This window comes from Homo sapiens, chromosome 2, assembly GCF_000001405.40.
Source record: "Homo sapiens chromosome 2, GRCh38.p14 Primary Assembly".
Taxonomy (NCBI): Eukaryota; Metazoa; Chordata; class Mammalia; order Primates; family Hominidae; genus Homo; species Homo sapiens.
In genome coordinates this window covers 128,338,606-128,363,820 of record NC_000002.12, presented here as the reverse complement: position 1 = coordinate 128,363,820, position 25,215 = coordinate 128,338,606, and the positions used below count along the sequence as shown (strand labels likewise).

The window sequence follows — 25,215 nt, the reverse complement described above, 5'->3', positions numbered from 1 at the left end:
GGGGTCCAAAGAAATTGAGCAACCCTTTCTAAGATCATATCCCAAGAACCAGATGTCCAGTGACATATTCATAGTTCACCACTGTGTCACTAGTATCTTACACACACACCTTATCTTTGTTAATGCGTAGGTATCATCATACCCGAAATTTAAGTTAAAATAGAGCTTTAAAAAAATGTTACTTTTAGTGTTTCAGTATGATATCCCAAATAAATCTCCTTTAAAAGGATGTTCTGGGCTGGGCGCAGTGGTTCACACCTGTAATTTCAGCACTTTGGGAGGCCGAGGCGGGCAGATCACTTGAGGTCAGGAGTCCAAAACCAGCCTGGCCAACATGGTGAAACCTTGTCTCTACTAAAAATACAAAAATTAGCTGGGCGTGGTTCTACACGCCTGTAATCCCAGCTATTCAGGAGGCTGAGGCAGGAGAATCACTTGAACCCAGGAGGTGGAGGCTGCAGTGAGCTGAGATCGTGCCACTGCACTCTAGCCCGGGTGACCCGAGTGAGACTCCATCTAAAAAAAAAACAAAGACTTTTCCATGACACTTTGGTCTCCAAATTAAGTAGCATCATTTTTGGTGCCCTTTCCTTGGTACCACACGCCCTGGGGCCTAAGTCTCCCACCCCCTTCCTGAGTCCCCTGTGGAGCAAGTTTCATCTGACAACATTCTGGAAAGCCCCACCCCAGTCGCTTGGGGTGGAGACTGACTGGAGCCCAAGCCACCAACTCCGCACCGCTCCTGCCTTCCCCGGAGCTGAGTCTGGAAAGGATGCAGACATGCTTGGAATCTCAAAAATGTGCCCCTTCTCAGGCCTCTGCCTGCACCGCAGCTCACTCAGCCTCCTGGGAGTCAGAGAGTGGAGCTGGGGCTCCAGGGTGGTCTGGGAAGGAAAACCCACCCCCCACCCTCCCAAGACAGGGTGGAACTCCTGCCCCACCCCCAACCTAGCACATAGATTTCCTCTGCGCACCCCCAGAGCTGCCTGCAGGCCTCAGTGGGGCAGCTCCAAGGAGGAACACTGGCTCTAATCATCGCTGGTAATGCAGCCCTGGGGGACACCATCCCAACGCCATGATCTTCAGGAAGGCCCAGCCCTCAGGGGCCACAGCAGACAGAATATGGCAGACAGAGGACCGTAGACAGGGAACAGGAGACAGGGAAAGCAGACAGGGGATGGCAGGCAAGAGACAGCAGACGAGGACTGCACGCAGGGAACAGGGGATAGCAGGCAGGGGACAGGGGGCAGTGGACAGGGGACAGCAGACAGAACAGTAGACAGGGGACCGCAGACAGGAGACAGTAGTCAGAGGACGGTAGATGGGACAGCAGACAGGGGACAGTAGATGGAGACGGCAGATGGGGACAGTAGATGGGATGGTAGACAGGACGACAGACAGGGGACAGCAGGCAGGACAAAAGCATCTTTCCAGCAGCTCCTGCCTGGACTGAGCCCTCCCACACTCTGCACAGGGCCTAGAGGAGCTGGGAGGTTAAACACGTGCGGTGAGCCTGCCTAAGAATCTCATCTCAGTGGCTCAAGTGCAAAACAATTTTATTTTTCCTCCAATCACTGCCTTCAGCCATATGTGTTAAATCTCTCTTTAGACACATCCAAGTATAAAAATCCAGTCCAGAAGAAAAGGTGTCCGTGCACTGGAGTCTAGTTAAATGTGCATTTCCCCTCCACGCTCCTGTCTCAGGGCAGAGCAGAGGCTTAGGGCTGCAGTGCCAGGGACTGCACTAGGGGTGGCCTCTTCCCCTGAGGATACACCCGACAAGGTTCCAAGCCTGCCAGATCCCAGCCCTCCTGGGTGCATCCACAGCACAGCACCAGGTCAGCCACGCTCGGTGGTGCACTCTGCACTCACAGGAAGCTCCAGCCTCCTGGACACACCAGATGGACAGAGGTGTCTGGCTCTGCCCTGGCCCCGCTTTAATCCTCTCCCTGCTCAAGGAAGCTGGGGACAGAGCAGCACATCAGTCTGGGCCACCACGCGATGGAAGGCCCGTGCCCCCTACCTGCATGACCCTCCAGTTTCCACCGAGGACCCTCCTCACCTCCCAGGGTACCCTCAATTCTCTTTTCAGCTTGTCTCTCAGGATGAAGGCAACCACTGCTGTCCCCACCACCCTTGCTGAAGTGCTTCCATAAAGCACATGCACCCAGGGAGCTATCTGGTCAGCTCTGCCTGCTCTAAGGTAGTACCACAGCCTGGGAGGCTTAGCAGCAGATGCGTGTTTCTCACAGTTCCGGAGGCTGAAGTCCAAGATCAAGGTGCTGGCAGATGTGGTGCCTGGTGAAGGCCTGCTTCCTGGTTTGCTGGTGGCCACCTTCTCACTGTATCCTCACATGGTGGAGAGAGATCGTCTCCCGTGTCTCTTCTTAGAAGAGCGCTAATCCCATCATCAGGTCAGGACCCAGCCTCATGACCTCCCCTAAGCCTAATCACCTCCCAAAGGCTCCACTTCCTCCTAAGATCTTCACATTGGGAGTTAGGGCTTCAATGTATGAATTTGGGGGGCACAAGCATTCAGTCCATAACAGTACAGATACCCATGATACTGTGAAAATTACGATGGGCATTGTATGAATGACACGGTGTCACACTTGTATCACCTCCTGCAAAACCAGCTGGGCTCTGCCCAGCGGCCTCCAGCCATTGGGGCAGGAGACTGGGAAGGACAGAGCAGACCTGCAATGGCGGAGCAGCCTCTGTAGGGCCGAGCTCTGCCTGGGGCTTTCTGCAGTCTCTCTCCTGTAGACCTCAATAACCCCATCATCTCCATTTCACAATGAAGAAACTGACCCTGAGAGAAGGTGTGTGATTTGCCCAAGGTCACTCAGCCAGCACAGAATGAAGCAGACAGCCTGACCCACATCTGAGTCTACACCAGCGATGTTCCAAAGGCGGCCTGGGGGACCCCCCAGCGTCTCAGGATCTTTCCAGGGATCAGAAAGACCGGACTTACTTTCACAGTAACACGGAGCCCTGATTTGCCTTTCTCATGCATTTTCTCACAGAGGTATCCAGGGGGCTTTCAGAGGCTCTTGATGCATAACGCAGCCTCACCCTGATGGCTGACAAAACGTGTGCTTCTGTCTTCCCGTGTTTTGCAAATTTATCAGTTTTAAACTCTAATGTAGTGAACACAGTTGTAACCACGGAGTGCTGGAAGATGTTAAACCACCAGCTCTCCAAGCCATAGGGCCCCACTATGCAGTATTTGCCACTTTCCGTGGTGTAAATATTTTCACCATGATCGATGTTAAGCCACCAAAATAACATCACTGGGTGCAGAGGTGGAAAGAAAGTGCACAGTCAGTTCTTGCCAGCTGGTGAGACAGCTGAGGCACATCACTGAAAAGACGCACACAAAACAGGAGCTCTTTAGGGTCCTCCCTATTTTTAAGGGTGTAAAGGGGTGCTGGCATCAAAAAGTTTGAGAACACTACTACATCACCCCTGACTGAACAAGGTGCAAAGAACTGCAGGAGGTGCCATCAGGACTTGGGAGGCAGGGGATCTGGTCTCCACCTTCTGGAAGCACCAGCCTAACTGGGGAGCCCCTGATGGGACTCAAGCAAGTGAAGGGAGAAGATGTCTGGCCAGGGTTGGAGAGAGGACGAGCCTGTGGCCTGGAGAGGCCCCGGGGGCACGGGCCATCAGCTGGGCGCTGGTGCCATGGGGAAGCCTGGGCTCTGTTGTCAGGATGCCCTGCTTTCTGGTGAAATCGGCTGTGATCTCCCCATTGGCATCAGTGCCCTGGACACTCAGGGTCCCACGGCCGCCAGGCATGCTGAGCAGGGACACAGGTGGAGCAGCAAGAAGCCTGGTGGTTTGCAGACTGACAGGGCAAGGGCCCCTCCAGAAGGGAGTGGACTGAGTCAAACAGGTTAGACTTGACGTGGTCCACTGACCCCAAAACCGACGGCCAATCCACTTCGTGTTGCTGTAAAGGAATACCTGAAGCTGGACAATTTATACAGAAAGGGGGTTTAATTGGCTCTGGGAGCATCTGCTCCGCTTCTGGGGAGGCCTCAAGGAGCTTTCACACATGACAGAAGGGGAAAGGGGAGCAGGCATGTCCCATGGTGAGAGGGGAGCAAGAGAGAGGAGAGGGAGGTCCAGACGCTTTTTAACAATCAGATCTCATGGTAACTCATTACCACAAGGAGGGCACTAAGCCAGTCATGAGGGCCCCACCCCACTGACCCAAACACCTCCCACCAGGCAACGTGAGGCTTGGAGAGAACACACATCAAGCCATATCCCTGCCCTTTAGCAGCAGTCTAGCTGAGGCCCGAGGTGCAGCGGCTGCCCGACCCAGCTGCGGCCACCAAGCTTTTTCCAAGCATCTACTCCAGTCAGCTGTGGTCCAGGGGCTGGGAGCCCCACGAAGAAGGCTAGCAGAAGCCAGGCTATGAGAGGGCAGCCAGGATGCCCTCATGCCCAGGAGAAGGAAAGGCAAGCCCTGGGTGCAGGAAGAGGCAATGGCAGAGGTGTGAAACAGCCTCAGGGCTGAGAGGCAGGACCTCTGAGACTGCCCAGAGCACAATGAGGCGAGAAAGGCGCGAGAAAACCACGGCTGGCACGCCCTGCCAAGTGTCAATTCACCCAGCCAGAGACTCAATGCTGCTGGAGTGGTCCGTCCCAGAGGGCCCCACAGCCTGGTCCTCATTGGTCTCCCGTGCTCTGGTTGGTGGCGGTGGGGTTTGGGGTCCACTCTGAAAGCCTATCCCGCCCTTACTTCTGGTTACTCTTGGTAGACTTGACCTAGCCTGCTCCATATTCCTCCCCATTCCCCAGGGCTTCTGAGCAGTCTCTCCTTGGAGGAAGCAGGCTGGGAGGAGGTAAGTGTGAGGCTGCTGGCATTACCTTCCCCCGCATAGGCAGGAGCTGTCAGAAGGAAGCTAAATGCCAATAAACCTTTTGCCCAAGAGGATGATGATGGTTTGGCTTCAGTGACTAGTTATTAAAAGTTATTATTTTTTTTTGAGACACAGTTTCTCTCTTGTTGTCCAGGCTGGAGTGCAATGGCGCGATCTCCGCTCACCACAACCTCCGCCTCCCGGGTTCAAGCAATTCTCCTGCCTCAGCCTCCCGAGTAGCTGGGATTACAGGCATGCGCCACCACGCCCGGCTAATTTTGTATTTTTAGTAGAGATGGGGTTTCGCCATGTTGGCCAGTCTGGTCTCAAACTCCAGACCTCAGGTGATCCACCCGCCTTGGCTTCCCAAAGTGCTGGGATTACAGGCATGAGCCACCGCTCCCGGTCAAAAAGTTACATTTTCATTTGCAGAAGCATAGACAGCAATGGGGAAAGGAGAAAGGGATCATTAAACTAGGGGCATGTACAGCTTCCAGGGCTCAGTGTGAACAGACGGACAGCAAAGGATTGGCAGAGCATTGCCTTCACCTCTGTCTACTGAGACTTGAAACGTATTGAGTGCCCTTTACAAAATCATCCCATTTCATTCTCCCAGCCCGGCAAGGTAGGCAGAACCTTCACCCAAAATACATCGTAATTGAGAAAACAGAGGCTTAGAAAGGGTAAGTGACATGCCCAAGGGTGCCCAGCTGGTTGATGGTGGGGCCAGGATTCACAGGCTACCTGACCACCACCCTCTCAGCCACCAAAACCTAAGGTCAAGTGTGAGAGCCCAGGAGTCTGAGGCAGGACACGAATATACCTCTGAAAAAGCTGGAAGATGGAAAAGACAAGCGGAGTTCCCAAATCCTCATTTGACATGCATGTTGTACTCATTGGGTAAAGTAAGTCATGGTCATCACACAACTTGAACTTTGGGGACAGTGGGAAGGACGACCAGACTCCTGCCAGAATGGAGTTGGGGTGAGGGGTCCACTGAGGCAATAGCTCTCAGCTCACTAGGTTGGAAGCCAGGAAAGAGAATAAGAAGGCTTCCAACAAGGCTTCCATGCCCAGGCAGCCCGGGCTCTCTGTCTCAGTGCTGGAGAGTGGCAGAAGTAAGTGGACACAGGGGCCCACACCTTGGTTTGTCCCAGTTCCAGGAGGTGAGACATGTGACAGCAAATTCCATTCACTGGGCCTCGGCGGCTGGTTCAGACGTGAGCATAAGACCTAAGTTGGTCCCATCAGACTGAATCTCAGGACACCATGCCAGGAATTCTAAGACACAGGTGCTTCCTCTAGCTCTAGCTCATGTCATCGTGCAGGAGTGAGGCCTGGAACAGTGGTAGCTGTGTTGCTGCCATGACGGAAGTCGGCCTGAGATGAGACTGGCTGCAGAGTCAAGCACAGGCAGAATCATGGAGCAATGAAGCCAGGGTTCTTGAATTTCATTTACAGCAGACAATGTGGTCGGAACCGCTGGTTGCCTACAAAAATATCCATGCTTTCCTCTATCGTCCTTAGCAACAGAAATTTGATTTTGCACAGCAATATGAATGTAGTAATGTGCCCATAAGAAAAACTACAATAGCAAAAGTCCTTTAAAATATATATATAACATCTATATAATAAATATAATAAGTTTAACAAAAGTATAAAACTTGTACATTAAAAACTACAAAACATTATTGAAAAAGAATAAAGAAGACTAAAGTAAATGAAAAGACAGCTGGTGTTCATGGATCAGAAGACTTACTATTGCTGAAATGTCAGCACTTCCCAAATTGATCAACAGACTCAATGCAATTCCTATCAAAATTCTAAAGGTCTTTTTCACAGAAATGGGCAAGCTGATTCTAAAATTCATATGAGAATCCAAGGAACTCAGAGTAGTCAAAACAATCTTGAAAAGGAAGGAAATATTTGGAGGATTTGCATTTCCCAATCTCAAAACTTACTACAAAGCTACAGTAATCAAAACTGTGTTGTACAGGCACAAGGACAGACAAATAGATTAATGGAATAGAATTGAGAGTCAGAAATAAACTCATACATTTGTGGTCATCTGAGTTTCAACCAGGTGCCAAGACAGTTAAACAAAGGCAGTAGGACAACGAGATAGTGACATGCAAAAGAATTGATTTGAACCCCTACCTCATGCCACATACAAAAATTAATTCAAAATGAATCAAAGTCTAAAAGTAAGAGCTGAAACTATAAAACTCTTAGAAGAAAACACAGGTGAAAATCTTCATGACCTTGAGTTTGGCCATGGTTTCCTAGATATGATGTCTACAATACAAGTAACCAAAGAAAAAAATAGATAAATTGGACTTCATCAAAATTTAAAACTTTGTTTATCAAGGGACACTATCAAGAAAGTGAAAAAAACAACCCACAGAATGGGAAAAAATATTCTTAACTCATATAATTGATAAGGGCCTATAACCAGAATATAAAAAGGCAAGTAATCTAATTTTAAAACAGGCAAAGTATTTGAATAAACATTTCTCCAAAGAAGGTATGCAAATGACCTATGAACACAGTGGATGGTACTCAATGTCACCATTTATTAGGAAAGTGCAAATCAACACCCCAGTGGAACATCACTTCACACACACGCTAAGATGGCTCTAATCAAACAGATAAAAATTCACAAGTGTTGGTGAGGATGTGGAGAAACTGGAACCTTCACGCACTGCTGGTGGGAATGTAAAATGATGCAGCCACTTTGGAAAACAGTCTAGAAGTTTCTCAAAAAAACTAACCATAGAGTTAACAAATTTAGCCAAGCAATTCCATTCTGTGGTATATACCCAAGAAAAATGAAAGTTTGCCTGCACAATAGCAGCATTATTCATAATAGCCAAGAAGTGGAAACAACCCAAATGGTCATCAGCTGATGAATGGATAAAGGAAATGAGGTATATTTATGCAATAGAATCCTATTCAGCAATATAAAGAAATGAAATACTGATACATGCGACAACACAAATAAATCTTGAGACCCTGTAGTGCTGAGTGAAAGAAGCCAAGCACAGAGTTGTCAATTTTACATAAAGCATGAAGTATAGGCACATCAAAAGAAACAGCAAGTACCTTGTGTTAGGCCATTCTTGCATAGCTATAAAGAAATATCTGAGGCTGCACTGGGCGCGGTGGCTCACGCCTGTAATCCCAGCACTTTGGGAGGCCGAGGTGAGTGGATCACTTGAGGTCGGGAGTTCAAGACTACCCTGGCCAACATGGTGAGCTCCCGTCTCTACTTAAAATACAGAAATTACCCAGGCATGGTGGCACACACATGTAATCCTAGCTACTTGGGAAGCTGAGGCAGGACAATTGCTTGAACCCAGGAGAGCCAAGACCACACCACTGCACTCCAGCCTGGGCAACAGAGTGAAATTCCATCTCAAAAAAAAAAAAAGGAGAGTGTATAGCTCAGTGGTAGAGCATTGGACTGCAGATCAAGAAATACCTGAGGCTGGATAATTTATAAAGAAAAGAGGTTTAATTGACTCACGGTTCTGCAGGCTGTACCAGCATAGCTCCAGCATGTGCTTCTAGCGAGGGCCTCAAGAAGCTTACAATCATGGTGGAAGGTGAAGGGGGAGCAGGTCCATCACATGGTGAGAACAGGAGCGAGACAGAGGGTGGGTGCCACACAATTTTAAACAGCAAGATCTCACCAACTCACTCATCACCATGGGGATGGCACTAAGCCATTCATGAGGGATCTGCCCCCATGAGCCAAACACCTCCCACCGGGCCTCCCCCCAACACTGGGGATTACATTTCAACATGAGATTTGGAGGGGACAAACATCCAAACCATATCATAGGTTCATGGTTGCCAGAAGCTGGGGGCAGAAAGGAATGGGAGTAGGGTTCCTATCTGGGGGGGATGAAATGTTCTGGAATTAATGATGATTGTTGCACAACTCTATGAATAAGCTAAAAAAAAAAACACCACGGAATTGTACACTTTTAAGTGGTGATTTTTATGGTATGTGAATATCTCTACTTATAAAAATGATCCTTACTGTTCAAACCAATTTGAGGTAGATGTGCTGTTTCTTGCAAACCAAAGCTCCTGATACTTGGTGGGACACCCTCCCCTGCTGGCTGACTTCTTCTCCTCCCAGGCAGGCTTTCTCTTAGAGCATGGGTGGAGATGAGGCCCAGCTATGACTAATCAAACAGATAAAAATTCACGAGTGTTGGTGCAGATGTGGAGAAACTGGAACCTTCATACACTGCTGGTGGGAACGTAAAATGGTGCAGCCACTTTGGAAAACAGTCTAGCAGTCCCTCAAAAAACTAACCATAAAGTGACAATTTGGCCAAGCAATTCCACTCTGTGGTATATACCCAGGAAATATGGGACAGACTGGGGACAGCTGTGTGCAGAACCAGAGTACCCCCAGCTTCTGAGAGAGAACACAGCCCCAAGCTCTTGCCCAAATTTTCGGGGTCTTGCTGTGGGTGGGGGCTGCTGCCTCTCTGGCCCTGAAGGATCAGGAATGACAGAGGGATCACATCAGAGCAGTTCAGGAACCACCATCACCTGCTCCATGGGTCACTGGGCAGCCGGGAGCCAGGCTGCCTGGGATCAGGTGACCTTGTGGTAAAATCAGTGGTGTCCGCTGGGCCAGAACAGCTGAGGCTGCTTCCATGAGCAGAAGGATGTGGGAAGTGACTGGAGCCATGACCCCATACAGTCACCTCGGTCACTCCACAGCAGTATCCTGAAGAGACCCAATTACACCGTTTGAAATTAAAGACATGATGAGAACTGTATGTTGAGATGTTTCTTGGGCCTTGGGGCAATTGGTAACTCCAGCTTTGGAAATATCCAGCCTAAATCCCCACCACCCACATCGCGTGGTGGCCAGCTTTCGGATCCCCTCATCCACAGTGGGGGAGCACACAATCCAGGCACTCATGGCCCCATTGGCAGACACATCGCAGGCAGCCCCAGTCCAGGGCAGGATGTTGTTACATGTTCAGGTAAGAATCAGGCTGAGACTCCCTGGCCTTCTTTCAAGGGTGTCAGCTCTACCATCACACCATTCCTTCTCTCAAGTGGGCAGATTGGTGTCTTAATTTGTTTTCTGTTGTCTATAACAGAATATCTGAAACTAGGTAACTTATAAAGAAAAGAAATATATTTCCTACAGTTATGGAGGCTGGAAACTCCAAGGCCAAGGGAGCACATGGTGAGAGCCTTCTTGCTGGTGGGGACTCTACAGCATTCTGAGGCAACACAGGGCATTGCATGGTGAGGGGACGGAGGTGCTAACTCAGGCCTCCCTTCCTCTTCTTGTAAAGCCACCAGTCCCACTCTCATGATAACTATTAATCCATTAGCCCATTAATCCACGAATGGGTTAATCCATTCCTGAGGGCAGAACCCTCCTGACCCAATCACCTCTTAAAGACTCCACCTCTCAATACTGCCACATTGGGGATCAAAGTTTCAACATGAGTTTTTTTTTGTTTTTTGTTTGTTTGTTTGTTTTGAGACAGAGTCTCACTCTGTCGTCCAGGTTGGAGTACAGTGACACAATCTCGGCTCACTGTAGATTCCACCTCCCAGGTTCAAGCGATTCTCCTGCCTCAGCCTCCCAAGTAGCTGGGATTACAGGCACCTGCCATCATGCCAAGCAAATTTTTGTATTTTTGTAGAGACAGGGTTTCACCATGTTGGCCAGGCTGGTCTCAAACTCCTGGCCTCAAGTGATCTGCCTGCCTCAGCCTCCCAAGGTGCTGGGATTACAGGCATGAGCCACCACACCCAGCCTCAACATGAGTTTTAGAGGGGACAAACACTCAAACAATAGCAATTGACCTTGAATCAGCCGAGCTGAGGAACAGGACGTCAGGCTATCACCAGAGAACGTTACCTCAAACTCTCTGTTCTCCAGTTTTAATTAAAGCAATATTTTTCATGGAGAATTACCCAAGAAATACACATTCCATGGACTCCTGAAGGTCAAGCCCCCTAGAGAACCACAGGCCAACTGCATGGTTTGGCCCTGATAAAACAGCACTCACTGAACTCACACCAGGATGATCTGCTGAGCCCACTCTGAGGGCTGTTAAGACAGACTCATGGGACTGTGGTTTTTGGTGTTATGCTGTTGGGTTGTGTGGTTTTGTAATTCATTTTAAAAGTGTACATTTGCACAAAAAGGTACAAAACAAAAATGTGCAGACCATGTAGTGAACAGCCATGTAACCACTAGCCAGGTAAAGAATAAGACATGGAGTCTTATTTGGTGAGGTGGGAGGCCAACTCCCTGAGGCCCCTCCACCTCACCAAGGGTAACTTCATTTAAATAGAATTATATAACATGGACTTTTCTGTGTCAGACTGCTTTCACTCAAATTAGGCTTCTGAGACCTATTCCTGGTATTGTGTATAGTCATAATTCCTTAATTTTCATAGCTTACAGTATTCCATTGTATGAATGAACTGTGAATGAAATTTTGGTCCATTTTTTGCTTGGGGCTATTATAAATAATGCTGTTAGGAATGTTCTATATATGTATCCTGATACGCACATTTACACATACACCTTTCCGTTGGGTATATTCCCATAAGTGTAATTGCTGGGTCATCAGGGATGGGTCATTGGAAATGCATACCTTCAATTATTTAGAAAGTAATAGAAATAATACCAAATTGTTTTCCAAAATGGTTGTTTCAATTTACATTTCCAGCAGCAGTCCGTGAGAGTTCCAGTAGCTCCACATTCTCATCAACACTTGTTACTATCAATCTTCTTAATATTAGCCATTCTGGTGAGTAAAGGTAGTGTGTTAGTTATCTAGTGTTGCATAACAAATTATCCTCAAAATGTAGTAGCCTAAAACAATATACACTTATTATTTCAAGGTTTGTGTGGGTCAGAAAGCCAGGAGTGGCTTGTCTGGGTGGTTCTGGTCTCTCACAAGGTTCCATCAAGATGTTATCCAGGGCTGCTGTCATCTGAAGGCTCAACTGGGGCTATAGGATTTGCTTCCAAGAGGGCTCACTCACATGATCTGATGGCAAGAGGCCTCAGTTTCTCGCTGTATGCACCTCTTAGCAGGTCTGCTTGACTGTCCTCATGAGAGTCATGCCTCATGGCATCAGCAAGTGCTGTGAGAGAGAGGGGTGTGGGGAAGAGAGAGAAAGAGAGAGAGAGGCCACATTGTCTCACGACTTAGTGTTGCAAGTGATACACCATTACTTTTGCCATATCCTATTTATTAAGGTGAATCACTCAAGTCCAGCCACACTCAAGGGGAGGGGAATTAAGTTCCACCTCTTGAAATGAAGAGTACTAAAGAATTTGTGGACATATTTTAACACTACCACAGGAAACTCACTATGGTTTTAATTTGTATTTCTCTGACTAAATGAGGTTGAACACTTTTTCATGTGTTTACTGGCCATTAACTCTTTCACACAGTACCTGTTCAAGTCTCTTTCATAATTTTCTGGTTTGTTTTTTTTTTTTTTTTAGTTTTTCTCATTGATTTGTAAGAGTTCTTTCTATATTCTAGATATGAGTCTCTTGTCAGTTATATGTGCTGCAAATACTTTCTCCCACTCCTAGATTGCTTTTTGTACATTCTTAATGGTCTCTTTGATAAACAAACTTTCTTAATTTTAGCATAGCCTAAATTATCAGTCTTTTTCTTTATGGACTGTGCTTTTTATATCTTGCTTAAGAAGCAAAGTCATAAAGCTATTTTCCTATTTGGGTGGCTTTCTGATGTGTGACCTTGCCTAGGCTGAGCTATATTTCCCTGGAATGCCCTTTCTAGTGTGCATTCAGTTAGGGAGGGTACAGGGATGGGATGGGCAACCAGGGGTATTCTCTACTGAGAGCAGGAGGACAACAGGGAAGCAGTGGCCTTTCAAGCATGCACACACTTTCTCCAGTTACTCACTTGAGCCCTGGCCTTCATGCTGCTGCAAAGAGATTTTGCAATGTGATTAAAGTCCCAAGTCAGTTGACATTAAGATAATCAAAAGGGAGATTATTGCTCACAGTCAGTTACAGATCGAACTCCTTGTTCCACTCATCCTCCACTTCTCACTACTGCACTTGATTAATCTAAAAAAAAGTGGGGAGAGATTATCCTGGATGGGCCTGACTCAGTTAATTGAAAGGCTTTGTTAAAAGGGTTTAGGCATTCCCTGAGCCACACTCCAAACAGCCCCTGACAGCCTGCCCATCAAACTTCAGATGTCCTTAGCCTGCGCCCACAATTGTATGAGCCAATTCCATGTAAACACACACACAGAGGATCACTGACTGGCCCTGCTTCTCTGGTTGAGCCCTCACTGATACTCCTATATTATCTTCTAAAGCTACATTGTTTTGCCTTTCTCATTTAAATCTAAATCTACCTGGAGTTGCTTTTTTTGTGGATGGTGTGAGGTAGGGGTCAAGAATTTTGTTTTGCTTTCTTCTATTTAGATACTCAATAATCCCAGCACCATTTATTAAAAAGCCTTTCCTTTCCTACTGCTTGGCCAGCTTTGTCATAAATCAAAAGTGCACATATTCACAGGTCTGAGTGTTTTCAGCTGATCTGCTTTGGCCACCAAGAAATTAGTTTTCAAATTTGCTTTCCATTTTCAACAATTGTGTTGGACTTTATGACGTGATTTCTGAACACCAATTTACCACTGGCCTTGACTGATGGCCCAGCCCACATTTTCCCTCTACTGTGGCATACAAAGTGGCTGTTTATGAAATCTTGGTGTCCTCCCTTTCCTCTGCTTTGGAAAACAGGGAGAGCCCTAGAATTGAGCTACAGGAGGGCTGCTAGGGGAGACAGGAGGTAGTGAAGTGGTCCCCAGAAGTCCTGGTGACTTTGATTTTGTTTTATTTTGTTTTGTTTTTGTTTTTGAGATGGAGTTTTGCTCTTGTTGCTTAGGCTGGAGTGCAATGGTGTCGTCTCAGCTCACTGCAGCCTCCACCTCCCAGGTTCAAGTGATTCTCCTGCCTCAGCCTTTCGAGTAGCTGGGATTACAAGTGCCCACCACCAAACTCAGCTAATTTTTGTATTTTAATTAGAGACAGGGTTTCACCATGTTGGCCAGGCTGGTCTCGAACTCCTGACCTCAGGTGATCCACCCACTTCGGCCTCCCAAAGTGCTGGAATTACAGGTGTGAGCCACCACGCCCAGCCCCTGGCAACTTTGTTGAAGAGGGATGGGTAGAGGGATTGATCATCAGAACATGGTGGGTTGGGAAGCCTATCACCATGTGGATTGCGCAGGCCACGTGATGTTCACCTGAACTCAGCATACCACATAGACACCGGCATGGAGGAGGAGAGCAGAGATAGTCCCAATCCCATAGGGGCAGAGGGGTCAAGAGGAAGAGCTTTACACAGCAGCATGGATGGAACTGGAGATTGGTGTGTTGAGTGAAATAAGCCAGGCACAGAAAGACAAACTTCACATGTTCTCACTCATTTGTGGGAGTTAAAAATTAAAACAATGAACTCATGGAGCTAGAGAGTAGAAGGATGGTTACCAGAGGCTGGGAAGGGTCGTGGAGGAGGAGTGAGAATGGTTAAAGGGTACAAAAATATGGTTAGAAAGAATGAATAATATCTAGTATTTGATGGCATAATAGAGTGACTACAGTCAACAATAATTTGTCGTACATTTCAAAATAACTAAAAGAGTGTAATTGGATTGTTTGCAACACAAAGAAATAATAAATACTTGAGGTGATGGATACCCCATTTACCCTGATATAATTATTATGCAATGCATGCCTGCATCAAAATATCTCATGTAACCCATAAATACTTACTCTGTACCCACAAAAACTTTAAAAATAAAAGGGAAACAATGTGATGTGTTAAAACTATAAACATCCTATAACTCCCCCTCAGCATAACTGCAACAGTCACTCCTGCAAGAGTGATCTAAGCTGCTGTCAGTTCCCATTTTGCCTGTGTCCAGCTGGACCTCACCCACACAAACGTGGGGTCTTTGGCCCAGCGTCATCTGAGCTGCTGTACAGCAGCAAGCCCTGTTCTTTCCATGAAACGTTACAACCAACAGCAGCCCTCAGGACCTGGGCACAGAGCTGGGCACGCAGTGGGTGCTGCCCAAAGGAGTTTTGAACAACTGGATGCATTACAGGTTAGATAAATTATGACTTCTCCACACTGTGAACTATGCGTCTCAAATTCCTAAGGAAACTCCTTATATCCTGGTCTAGAGTGGGCCCCACTGTCACACCATCGAGTGAAAAAGGCAACATGAAACAAGCATGTGACATGTGTCATCTTTTCTACAAAATTGGAGGGAAAGAGAAATGTATGCACATATTTGCTTGAATGTGCAGAAAATAGCTCTAAAAGGACCTGCAAAAGCTGTGTGATATTGGCCCTAGCAGGGAGGAAGGCCTGCTGGAGGTTCAGGGCAGGAGAAACCCTTCCCTGGGAGCTTCTGGCAGCTTTCAGCTTTGGAGCCATGTGAACAGCCTGCCTGCTCACAAAACCAAAACAATTGTTTTAAGAAAAAAAGAAAAGAAAGAACAAGGCGTAGACGGCCTGAGGGAGCACATCTACCCAGCTGGGCCAGGACCGGGAGAACCCAGGAGCATGAAGAGGGGGCTGTGCCCATCCTGGGCAGGAGGCCAGCCCTGCCTCCCAGTCCCTGCCTTCCTAAAGCTGCCCTGGCAGGAGCCCTCACAGGAGGCCTGCGGAAGCCAGGCCCACTGGGCCGTGCAGCTTCCCTGGAATTTCTCCTCCCCCTTGGTGGCTGGCAGAGGAGGCTCTTTTTCTTGGCAAGCCACCGTCTGTGAAAAATGTGGTGGCCGTGAGGCTGCATCTGCAGACAATGGTTTGGACATGGAGCAAATTAGGAAAAACCTCTTTACCTCTGCACTGCAAATCCTCTCTCCCTGTGGCAGCCAAGCCAAGCAACGAGGAGCAGAGAAAGAAGACTGCAGGGAAGAGCACGTCCAGCTTCCTGGCAAACATCTGTGGCTGAGGTGGTAGCTGGGAGTGCAGAGGTGTGCTCAGAAAACACAGCCTTGTGACGCAGGATCAGACAGACGTAGGGGAACTGTGGGTGTGCACGTGAATGGGTGCGTACAGGAGGGTCGGGGTGAGCGGGCGTGTGTGTGCACATGTGTGTGCACATTTGGGTACATGTGCATATGTGGAACAGACCCCCTGGTGCTTGTGGGAGATGCCTGGCTGTGCAGCAGGCCTGCCTCTGGGGCTCCACGCCTCAAGGGGTGTTGGGAACAGGCATGTGATTCTTCTGTGGATTCCAACCCCTGCTTGGCCAACCCTGCTTTGTCATTTGTTAGCTGGGTCTCTAGAAAATTCTGTTAGTCCTTTAACTTTAGTCGCTTTATGTGTAACACAAGGTTATGGCGAGGAGTCACTGAAAATACGAAGCAGAGAGGCAGCAGCTCGGTGACGGCGACGCCAGGGAGTGGGCCGCAGTGGCTGGAGTCTGTGCCTTCTTTTCTGGCTTCCTCTCTGGCCTAGCTGATGGTCCTAAAAGTGCATGATTTTCCCCCATGGGCTGACCATAGGCAGGGCTTGTGGCCCACCGTCCCACACAGCGCCTGGCTTGGGGCAGGTGGAGAGGCCCAGGGTGAGAGGTGACAGCCCAGCTGAGGCACCGTGGTGGCCGCCTGTGTGTGCCCAGTTCACAGGAGCCTCACCCTCCAGGAGGCCTCACTGAGCCGCAGCAACCACGAGGCTTGCCCTCCTCACTCACCACGTCTGCCCTCACCCACCAGGCCCGCTCCTGCCTGGAGGACGAACCACATGGCTGTCCTCCCCACCCCACCTAGTTTCCAGAGGGGAAAAACAAGAGAGTACAGTACAGGAGTTCTCCCTCTGCCTAGCCCCGCGCGGCGGCTTCCTCTCAGGCTTGGGATAAAGCCAAACCACTCGCCATCGCCCAGAAGGCCCTCTTCCCGGATCCGAGCCCTGGCACCCGCCCCCCGCCCGCCGCTGCTTCCCTCTGCTCAGGGGGCTCCACATGGGCAGCCCACACTTATCTGCGCCCCAGGATCTTTGCTCCAGCCGCTCCCCGGCCCGGGGTGAGGCGGGGGTGTTTCCAAGGCTGCTCTCTGCTGCTGGTCCTCATCATTCTAGGCTTGCTTGACAGACAGCTCAGCTCTTCAGAGAGACCTCCCTGACCCACCCCAGGGGCAAGCCTACTTCTACCCTCTGTCTGCCCGCTCTGCCCATGGGGCGATGCGCTCTCCAGGAACGGAGGGACAGGGCTGAGCCGTGAGGACCTCGCACTCCCGGTTGCCGTGGGACACGTGCGCAGGAGAGAAGGCCTGCGGGCTTCATCTAGAAGAAACCCTGGCGGGGCTCAGCGCACAGACCCCACACCGCACCGCTGCCCCGCAGACGCAGGCCTTGGCGCAGCCCTGCAGAGTCAACCCGTTCATTCCTTCTCTCATTAGAACAAATGGATGGATGCCAAGCAGGCGGCGCGGTCCTCCTGGCACCTCAGGGGCCGGCTTCTCACGGAGGAGCCCGCCTTCCGAGCGCCGCGAGCAGGCTGATTCCCACCTGGCCCAGGGTCTGCAGGCCGCGGAGAAGAAGGGACGGGGCGGGAACGGGTCCTCACCTTTCCAGCCCTTTCCTGTCTCCACCACAACGGACGACTTCCTTCCAGCCCACCTGCCCCTGCCCCTGGGGCCTCCCAGGCTGTTCCTGGGCCTGGGCGCCTTCCTCCCCCTAGGCCACCCCAACAACCGGTTCAGCCTCCTCCTTAGGAGCCCCCGCACGCCCGGGCAAGTGCAGATGCCCAAGCCCCATCTCACCCCGCCGGCCCAGCCTCACAACCCCAACCCCCATTTTAAAACCTTCACTGCCACGTGGCACCAACACGTGGTTTGGGCAACGTGGGCACCTGTCTCGAAGGCCCCCAAGCCTTCACTGTCCCCGCCAGAGGGGACCACCAAGCCAGCGTGCAGACCCCCTCCTCTCAGCGCCCCCAGCCCTAGCTCCCATCCCCCTGTGGAGGAAGGCAAGGGGTCTGGGGCAGGGTCCGTCTTATATGCTCGCCCCCGGGAGACGATGATCCCCGCGCGCGTCCCTGGGTAAAGAGAGGCCACCTCGCTGCCTGCAGGACCCCCAGAGCGGCCTCAGGGCCGGGGTTGGGGACTCTCTCCGCCCCACAGGTTCCCTTCCAGGAAGAGAAGAGTAAGGCAGAGCCACCGGCCACACCACCCACCCCTCCCCACTGGCCCTCCGCCTTTCCCTTCCCTCCTGCACTCCGGTGACAGAGCGTCCTGGGCCGGTGGCACCTTCCTGTGCACCCTTCGCGGGGACTCGCCGCTCAGCCGCGGAATCTGGAAGTCGGAGCTGCTGCTGGATAGTGATCCTGAAAGCCAGCGCTGCCCACCGCAGCGTGAACAACGAGCGCCTCCCGGTCAGGTAGAAGAGCCCCTCACCTTCACTGCGTGAGGGATGGCCCCCAGCCTGGATTTTGTACTTGAGGTGAAAATACCAGCCAAATGTGACTCCTGTTTTAAAAACAGTAGTCCATTGATTAAGATACACCTTCTAAAAGTTCAGCGTACTTACATTTATCATGAACACTTTTTAATTCGCATGTTCTTCTTCTTTTTTTTTTTTTTTTTTTTTTTTTGAGATGGAATCTCACTCTGTTACCAGGCTGGAGTGCATGGAGTGCAGTGGTGCAATCTGGGCTCACTGCAACCTCCCCTTCCAGGGTTCAAGTGATTCTCCTGTCTCAGCCTCCCAAGTAGCTGGGACTATAGGCGCATGCCATCCCACCCAATTTTTATATTTTTAGCAGAGATGGGGTTTCACCATGTTTGCCAGGATGGTCTCCATCTCTTGACCTCATGATCCGCTCGCCTCAGCCTCCCAAAGTGCTGGGATTACTGGCCTGAGCTACCATGCCAGGCCTTTAATTTGCATTTTCTAAAGTGCTTTTAGCTTTTAAAAACGTTCACACCTACATCAGTTCATACAACTGCCTGAGAGAAGCGTAGCCACCATTAAGAACTCCATTATAAGGCTGGGCACGGTGGCTCACACCTGTAATCCCAGGACTTTGGGAGCCTGAGGTGGCTGGATCACTTGAGGTCAGGAGTTCGAGACCATCCTGGCCAACATGGCGAAACCCCGTCTTTACTAAAAATACAAAACTTAGCCAGGCAGCGTGGCGCACGCCTGTAATCCGAGCTACTGGGGAGGCTGAGACAGGAGAATCACTTGAACCCAGGAGGTGGAGGTTGCAGTGAGCCAAGATTGCACCAGTGCACTCCAGCCTGGGCAATAAAGGAGACTGGGTCTTAAAAAAAAAAAAAAAAAAACGAAAAACAAAAATAAAAATATCTCCATTACATAAATGACAAAACTGAGGGTTACATTGTCAAATAACTTGGGTTAGTGCACAAAGAAAAGAAACATACTGGTGAGTGACCACTCCCGTCAGTAATCTGCTCTAATTTTATCCTCATAAGAACCCTTAGAAGTGGAGGTGGGTACCTTGGCCCATTTTACAGATAAGGAAAGTGAAGCTCTGAGTGTTGGGTGTTTGCCCAGGTCACACAGCTAGAGAATGGAGCTGAACCATGGTTTGGCTTATCACATCGCTAAGCCCTTTCATCCCCTCTGGGCTGTGAAACATCACTGCTCCTTCACTTGGGGAAGTGTTGCCCCTGTGATAAGACCAATAAGAACCTTTTTCTTGGAATGAATAAAATACAGTGAAAGGAATGAAGGAACAAGATGTTAGGGGCCCGTCTCATGATGACTCCTACATTAGAACAGTGTAGAATTCTACAGCTATTCTAAGGCCTTGGAACCCAGGCACTGGTGCCACACTCCACCCTCTTTTCTGGCTAGATCTCTGGAGAGTCCACTAACCAACCATTCTAATCTAAAATAGGATAAGATTTTATGAGGGTCAATTTAGATATCTATGGTAGTCATTTGTGCTGTTTTCCAAATAGTCTGGGTCTCCTTTGCCGACATGTGGTAGGAGGCCATGCCTTGGGCCTCTTGGAGTAGGCTTGGTCATGTGACTCACTTTTGCCAGTTAGCAGAAGTGACTTATGCCACTTCCTGGAGAAAATCGTAAGAGCCAGTTCACAATAGTCTTGTAGTCTCTTTTGTCTTGTGTTCACAAAGTCAGAGACAAAGAGATAGAGCCTGGGTTTTCCCTTAGTCAGGAGGATCAGCCCCCAGCTGATCTACAATGAGCATGTGGTATAAGGGAGAAATATGTTGCTTCTAGTTGCAGAGATTTGAGGATGCTTGTTACAGCAGCAAATTCTAGCCTATCCTAACTGATACAATAACATATTTGAGAACAGTATACTTTCTATACATATACTATAATATGTATTTGCATCACTCTTCTCATCTATAAAATAGGGTAATATATCATGAGGATTAACTGAATAAATACATATAAATGATTACATATGTGCCTGACACATAGTATACCTTGTATGTGTTAACTGTTATCATTAATGCTGTTCTTCTTCTATGTAACTATTATTATGAATGTTGTTCTTGCTGTTGTTCTTTTTTAAAATGTTTCCTGCATAAGCCCCAATGCCCCAATAAAAGCGGAGGGCAAAGGTGAGGCCAGGTCTTCTGAGGAGCAGTCAGCTCTGGAGGTGACTTGGTTGCAACACTCTCTCTTTGATGGCAATTGCCCTATCTGCCTTCTTTAAAACAAATTCTATTATAAAAGTCATGCATGTTGTCCATGAAAAATCAGAAAACATATAAAAATATAAAGAAAATAACAAAAATGTTCTGTAATCCCACGTCAGAGTTAACCTCTTTTAATATTTTTGTATGTATTCTTCTCATCCATTTTTCTTGCACCATTTTATTTTTCCAAGTAGAACTTGTACTGCACATAGCTGTCAGGCAACCTGCGTTTGCCTTTCTTATTATTTTTTCTTTTAACTAAAAATATGTCAAGAACATTTTCCTACTTTATTAAATGTTTTCCTACAAAATAATTTTAATGCAGCTTAGTAAGGCACATATGAATGTGTAGCAATTAAATTACTAATTCCTGGTTCAAAATCAAACCACAAAATTACTGAGAATTTACTACATGCCATGCACTGAGCTAGTGCTAGTGATAAACTGATGACAAAATCAGGCCTGGCCCAGCCCTCAGGCGCTAACCCTTCACTGTCTCCCAGGGGATATTCAGGTTCTTGCCCTCGGGGGAGGGGTGCAGGGCTGTTATCATTAGTGACTAGTGATGCAAAGAACATCCTTAAAGCTACCTCTTTGTGCCGAATCTGCCTGACTTGTGATTCTGATAGGTGCTAGACAAGATATAATAAATGCCTTCTTAAGTGCAAAACTGAGTTCAAAAAGAAATGAGGGTATCAGGGGCCAAAAACAGAAAGAAACATGGAAACCAGTAGACTAAATAGGTGTAAGCATTTCAGATATCCGGAGGTGGAAAGAAGATGGGAGTCCATTTATGTACCCTGGGGCTTGGGTTTATAGCCGTACAAATATAGGAGAAGAAGTCTCATAAGCCAGATCAGGATGGAGAGCTGTGTCTGAGATCCCTGCAGAAGGTGACATCCACAAGAAGCTCCATATTTGGTAAAAGAGCAGATTGCACCCTAACAAAGAGAGAGAAGAAGGAAGCTTGTCCGTTTTAGCTTGAGTGCTGAAAAAAAGGAAAAATGATTCCTGAGAATTTGTAAACTCTGCAAACAATGTCCACATCGTTTAGAGTTCAGGGTTTGGGGTTCAAACGTATTGTACCTCATGGCCTAGGTACCGCAAAACAAATAAATTAACATGAGAAATATCCCTGGGTTGGTAACACCCCCTGGACACCGGCAGAAGTAACAGTCATCCTCTCAATCCAGGCCACAAGGAAGTCCTACAGATAAAGCCCCAGTGCAGATGAGCTCCCTCGTCAAAATTAGAAAGCTGTTGAGGAAGTGAACCATAAGGAGAGGAGTCAAAAGAAACAACAAATAGAGAATTAGGCCTTCAAATACTTCACATAATGAGATTATCTGATAAGTACTATGAAGTGTCTAAAACTATGGAATACGTAAGTAAAGAAATGCAAAACATTGAAGAACAGATTGTTGTGTAAAAAGAGAGGAGCAGGAGGAGCTCAGCAAACATCCATGGCTATGTGCGATGATATCAGGCATTGCTCACACCCCAAGAGGATGCCTCTATCAGTATCATGTTTGACTGCAAATAACAGAAAACCTACTGACCAACAGTGCCTGAAACAAGCAGAGATTATTTTTTTCAAAAACCTACCAGTTTAGAGGTGGGCTTCTGTTGGCATTGGCTCAACCATTCATCTGTGGCATCTAGGGCCCAGGCTGCCATCACTGCACTTGGCCTCCTTTAGTAAATCATTTTTTATGATTGTCCTTGCTACCTCAAGATTTCAATGACTGCTACCTCTTCAGATATCATGTAACTGCAAAAGTGGGAAGGGAAGAGGTGAAGGACGAAGAGCCAACTACATATGTCCCTGCTTATAGCAAACTACCACCACTACCGCCATCACCACCACCACCACCATCATCACCATCACCACCACTACCAATACCACCATCACCAGCACTATCATCATTATTTCCACCACCACCACCACTACCACCACTACCACTACCACTATCCCCACCACCAGCACCAGCACCACCATCATTTCCACCACCATGGCCACTATCATCACCATCACCACCACCACCACCACCACCACCACCACCACCACCACCACCACCACCACCACCACCACCACCACCACCACCACCACCACCACCACCACCACCACCACCACCACCACCACCACCACCACCACCACCACCACCACCACCACCACCACCACCACCACCACCACCACCACCACCACCACCACCACCACCACCACCACCACCACCACCACCACCACCACCACCACCACCACCACCACCACCACCACCACCACCACCACCACCACCACCACCACCACCACCACCACCACCACCACCACCACCACCACCACCACCACCACCACCACCACCACCACCACCACCACCACCACCACCACCACCACCACCACCACCACCACCACCACCACCACCACCACCACCACCACCACCACCACCACCACCACCACCACCACCACCACCACCACCACCACCACCACCACCACCACCACCACCACCACCACCACCACCACCACCACCACCACCACCACCACCACCACCACCACCACCACCACCACCACCACCACCACCACCACCACCACCACCACCACCACCACCACCACCACCACCACCACCACCACCACCACCACCACCACCACCACCACCACCACCACCACCACCAACACCACCACCACCACCACCATCACCATCATTTCCACCACCACCACCACTACCACCACTACCACTACCACTATCCCCACCACCAGCACCAGCACCATCATCATTTCCACCACCATGACCACTATCATCACCATCATCACCATCACCGCCACTTCCACCACCACCACCACCACCACCATCATCACCATCACCACCACCACCATCATCACCATCACCACCACAACATCATCACCATCACCACTGCTCTGTGACTCCTTGGCTCCCCTCATACTAAGGTCTTCAACCGTCTGCAGCCCAAATCCTCGCACAAAGCCACCACAGACCAGATAGTCCCAGAAAAACACCTTGCAACAACACTCCAGTCACCAGCCGTACATGGGACTGGTGGAAACAGGAAACTGGAAACAGGAAACAGAAGTGCCACTTTAGTGAGCTGCTGTGAGGACAATATCAGCAAATGCGCCTAGGACAGTCCAGCGCAGCCGCCCAGGCTGGGGTAGTCAATGCACATTCCCCTCTCCTCTCCCTTCCCTCCCGTGTCTCCATATGAAGTACTTAGAGGCTTTCCCAGTGTTCCTCCAAGCAGGGTGCTCCCAGGAGTTCTTGCCTAGCAGAGTGGTGTTGCCACCAAACGCCTCCAGCCAATGAAAAGGAAGCAGCCAAGTGTGTGACCACAACATCCATCACCCTAGAAACATTGCCCCCACTTCCCAACAGCCAGTGGTCAGGAGAGGGACAGCACCCTGGGCAGGCACCTCTGTGGATTTCATGAGCTGAACCACACAAAACCTTGGCAGCAGGACCTGGCCCAGAGCAAGAGCTCAAGCATTGTTGGCTGCTGCTAGGAGAGTTTTTATTTTTTTTTATTGTTATTATTTTTTTAAGATGGAGTTTCACTCTTATTGCCCAGGCTGGAGTGCAGTAGCATGATCTCAGCTCACTGCAAACTCCGCCCCCACACCGGGTTCAAGCGATTCTCCTGCCTCAGCCTCCTGAGTAGCTGGAATTACAGGTGCCCACCACCACGCCCATCTAATTTTTTTGTATTTTCAGTATAGACGGTGTTTCACCATGTTGGCCAGGCTGGTCTCAAACTCCTGACCTCAGGAGATCCAACCACCTCAGCCTCCCAGAGCGCTGGGATTACAGGTGTGAGCAACCACCCCCGGCCACTAGGAGAGTTTTTAAAAAGAAAGGTCCAAGGGACCATGTGGCTGTGTAGAGGAGTTTGTGGGAGGACAGGCTGCAGAGGTCACATGTGTCTGGTGGCCCCAATGAGACTGATTGTTGACTTCATTCCTCTACCCCATCAGTGCCTCGTGAGCATCTAGGACGCAATGGCCCTGCTCTGCAGTGCACGGGGAGGTCAGGGGCACAGAGAGGCTCTTCCCTGAGGTGCTGACGTTCCCACGCAGTGTGACGTTCAGCCTCAACGTGTCCGGCGAGCCTGTCACAGCCTTTTCCAAAGCTTTTCTTGCATATTTTCAGATAATCACATGCTTTTCCTCCTGCTATTCCTGGAATAAATCCTGGTTTGTCATGGTGTAGTGTTATCCAATTTAATTTTCTACTATTTTGTGTTTTTACATTTATTTTCAAAAATGAACTTGGTCTACAGTTTTGTGTCTGACTTTATCAAGTTTTGACATCAAGGAAATTTGAAGGGAATTATTTATTAAAAGTTTGACAGACTTTGACTATAAAATTGCTTGGACAAGTGAGAAAAGGTAATAGAAAAAAGTATTATATTTATAACAGCAATAAAAATAAATATCTAGATATAAATTTCCCTCCATAATACTGTTCTTTTTCATTTGTATGTATAAATTGATGTACAATTTACATACAACAAAATACGCAGATCTTTACTGCTCAGTTCAATGAATTGTGACAGTTGCAAACAGCCAAATCAAGATCTAGAATATGTCTATCACCCCGAAATTTCCCTCATGCTCTTTTGCTGTTGAT

General features: G+C 48.8%; 4 annotated features.

Moving 5' to 3' along the window:
* Positions 769 to 1,307: an enhancer, noted in NCBI's record as "NANOG-H3K27ac-H3K4me1 hESC enhancer chr2:129120088-129120626 (GRCh37/hg19 assembly coordinates)". NCBI's record gives its function as "activates a minimal SCP1, AML or CMV promoter by ChIP-STARR-seq in naive H9 embryonic stem cells {active_cell/tissue: H9 hESC(naive)}" and the evidence as "EXISTENCE:reporter gene assay evidence [ECO:0000049][PMID:30033119]".
* Positions 1,308 to 1,846: an enhancer, noted in NCBI's record as "NANOG-H3K27ac-H3K4me1 hESC enhancer chr2:129119549-129120087 (GRCh37/hg19 assembly coordinates)". NCBI's record gives its function as "activates a minimal SCP1, AML or CMV promoter by ChIP-STARR-seq in primed H9 embryonic stem cells {active_cell/tissue: H9 hESC(primed)}" and the evidence as "EXISTENCE:reporter gene assay evidence [ECO:0000049][PMID:30033119]".
* Positions 1,847 to 2,386: an enhancer, noted in NCBI's record as "H3K27ac-H3K4me1 hESC enhancer chr2:129119009-129119548 (GRCh37/hg19 assembly coordinates)". NCBI's record gives its function as "activates a minimal SCP1, AML or CMV promoter by ChIP-STARR-seq in primed H9 embryonic stem cells {active_cell/tissue: H9 hESC(primed)}" and the evidence as "EXISTENCE:reporter gene assay evidence [ECO:0000049][PMID:30033119]".
* Positions 18,031 to 18,531: an enhancer, noted in NCBI's record as "H3K4me1 hESC enhancer chr2:129102864-129103364 (GRCh37/hg19 assembly coordinates)". NCBI's record gives its function as "activates a minimal SCP1, AML or CMV promoter by ChIP-STARR-seq in primed H9 embryonic stem cells {active_cell/tissue: H9 hESC(primed)}" and the evidence as "EXISTENCE:reporter gene assay evidence [ECO:0000049][PMID:30033119]".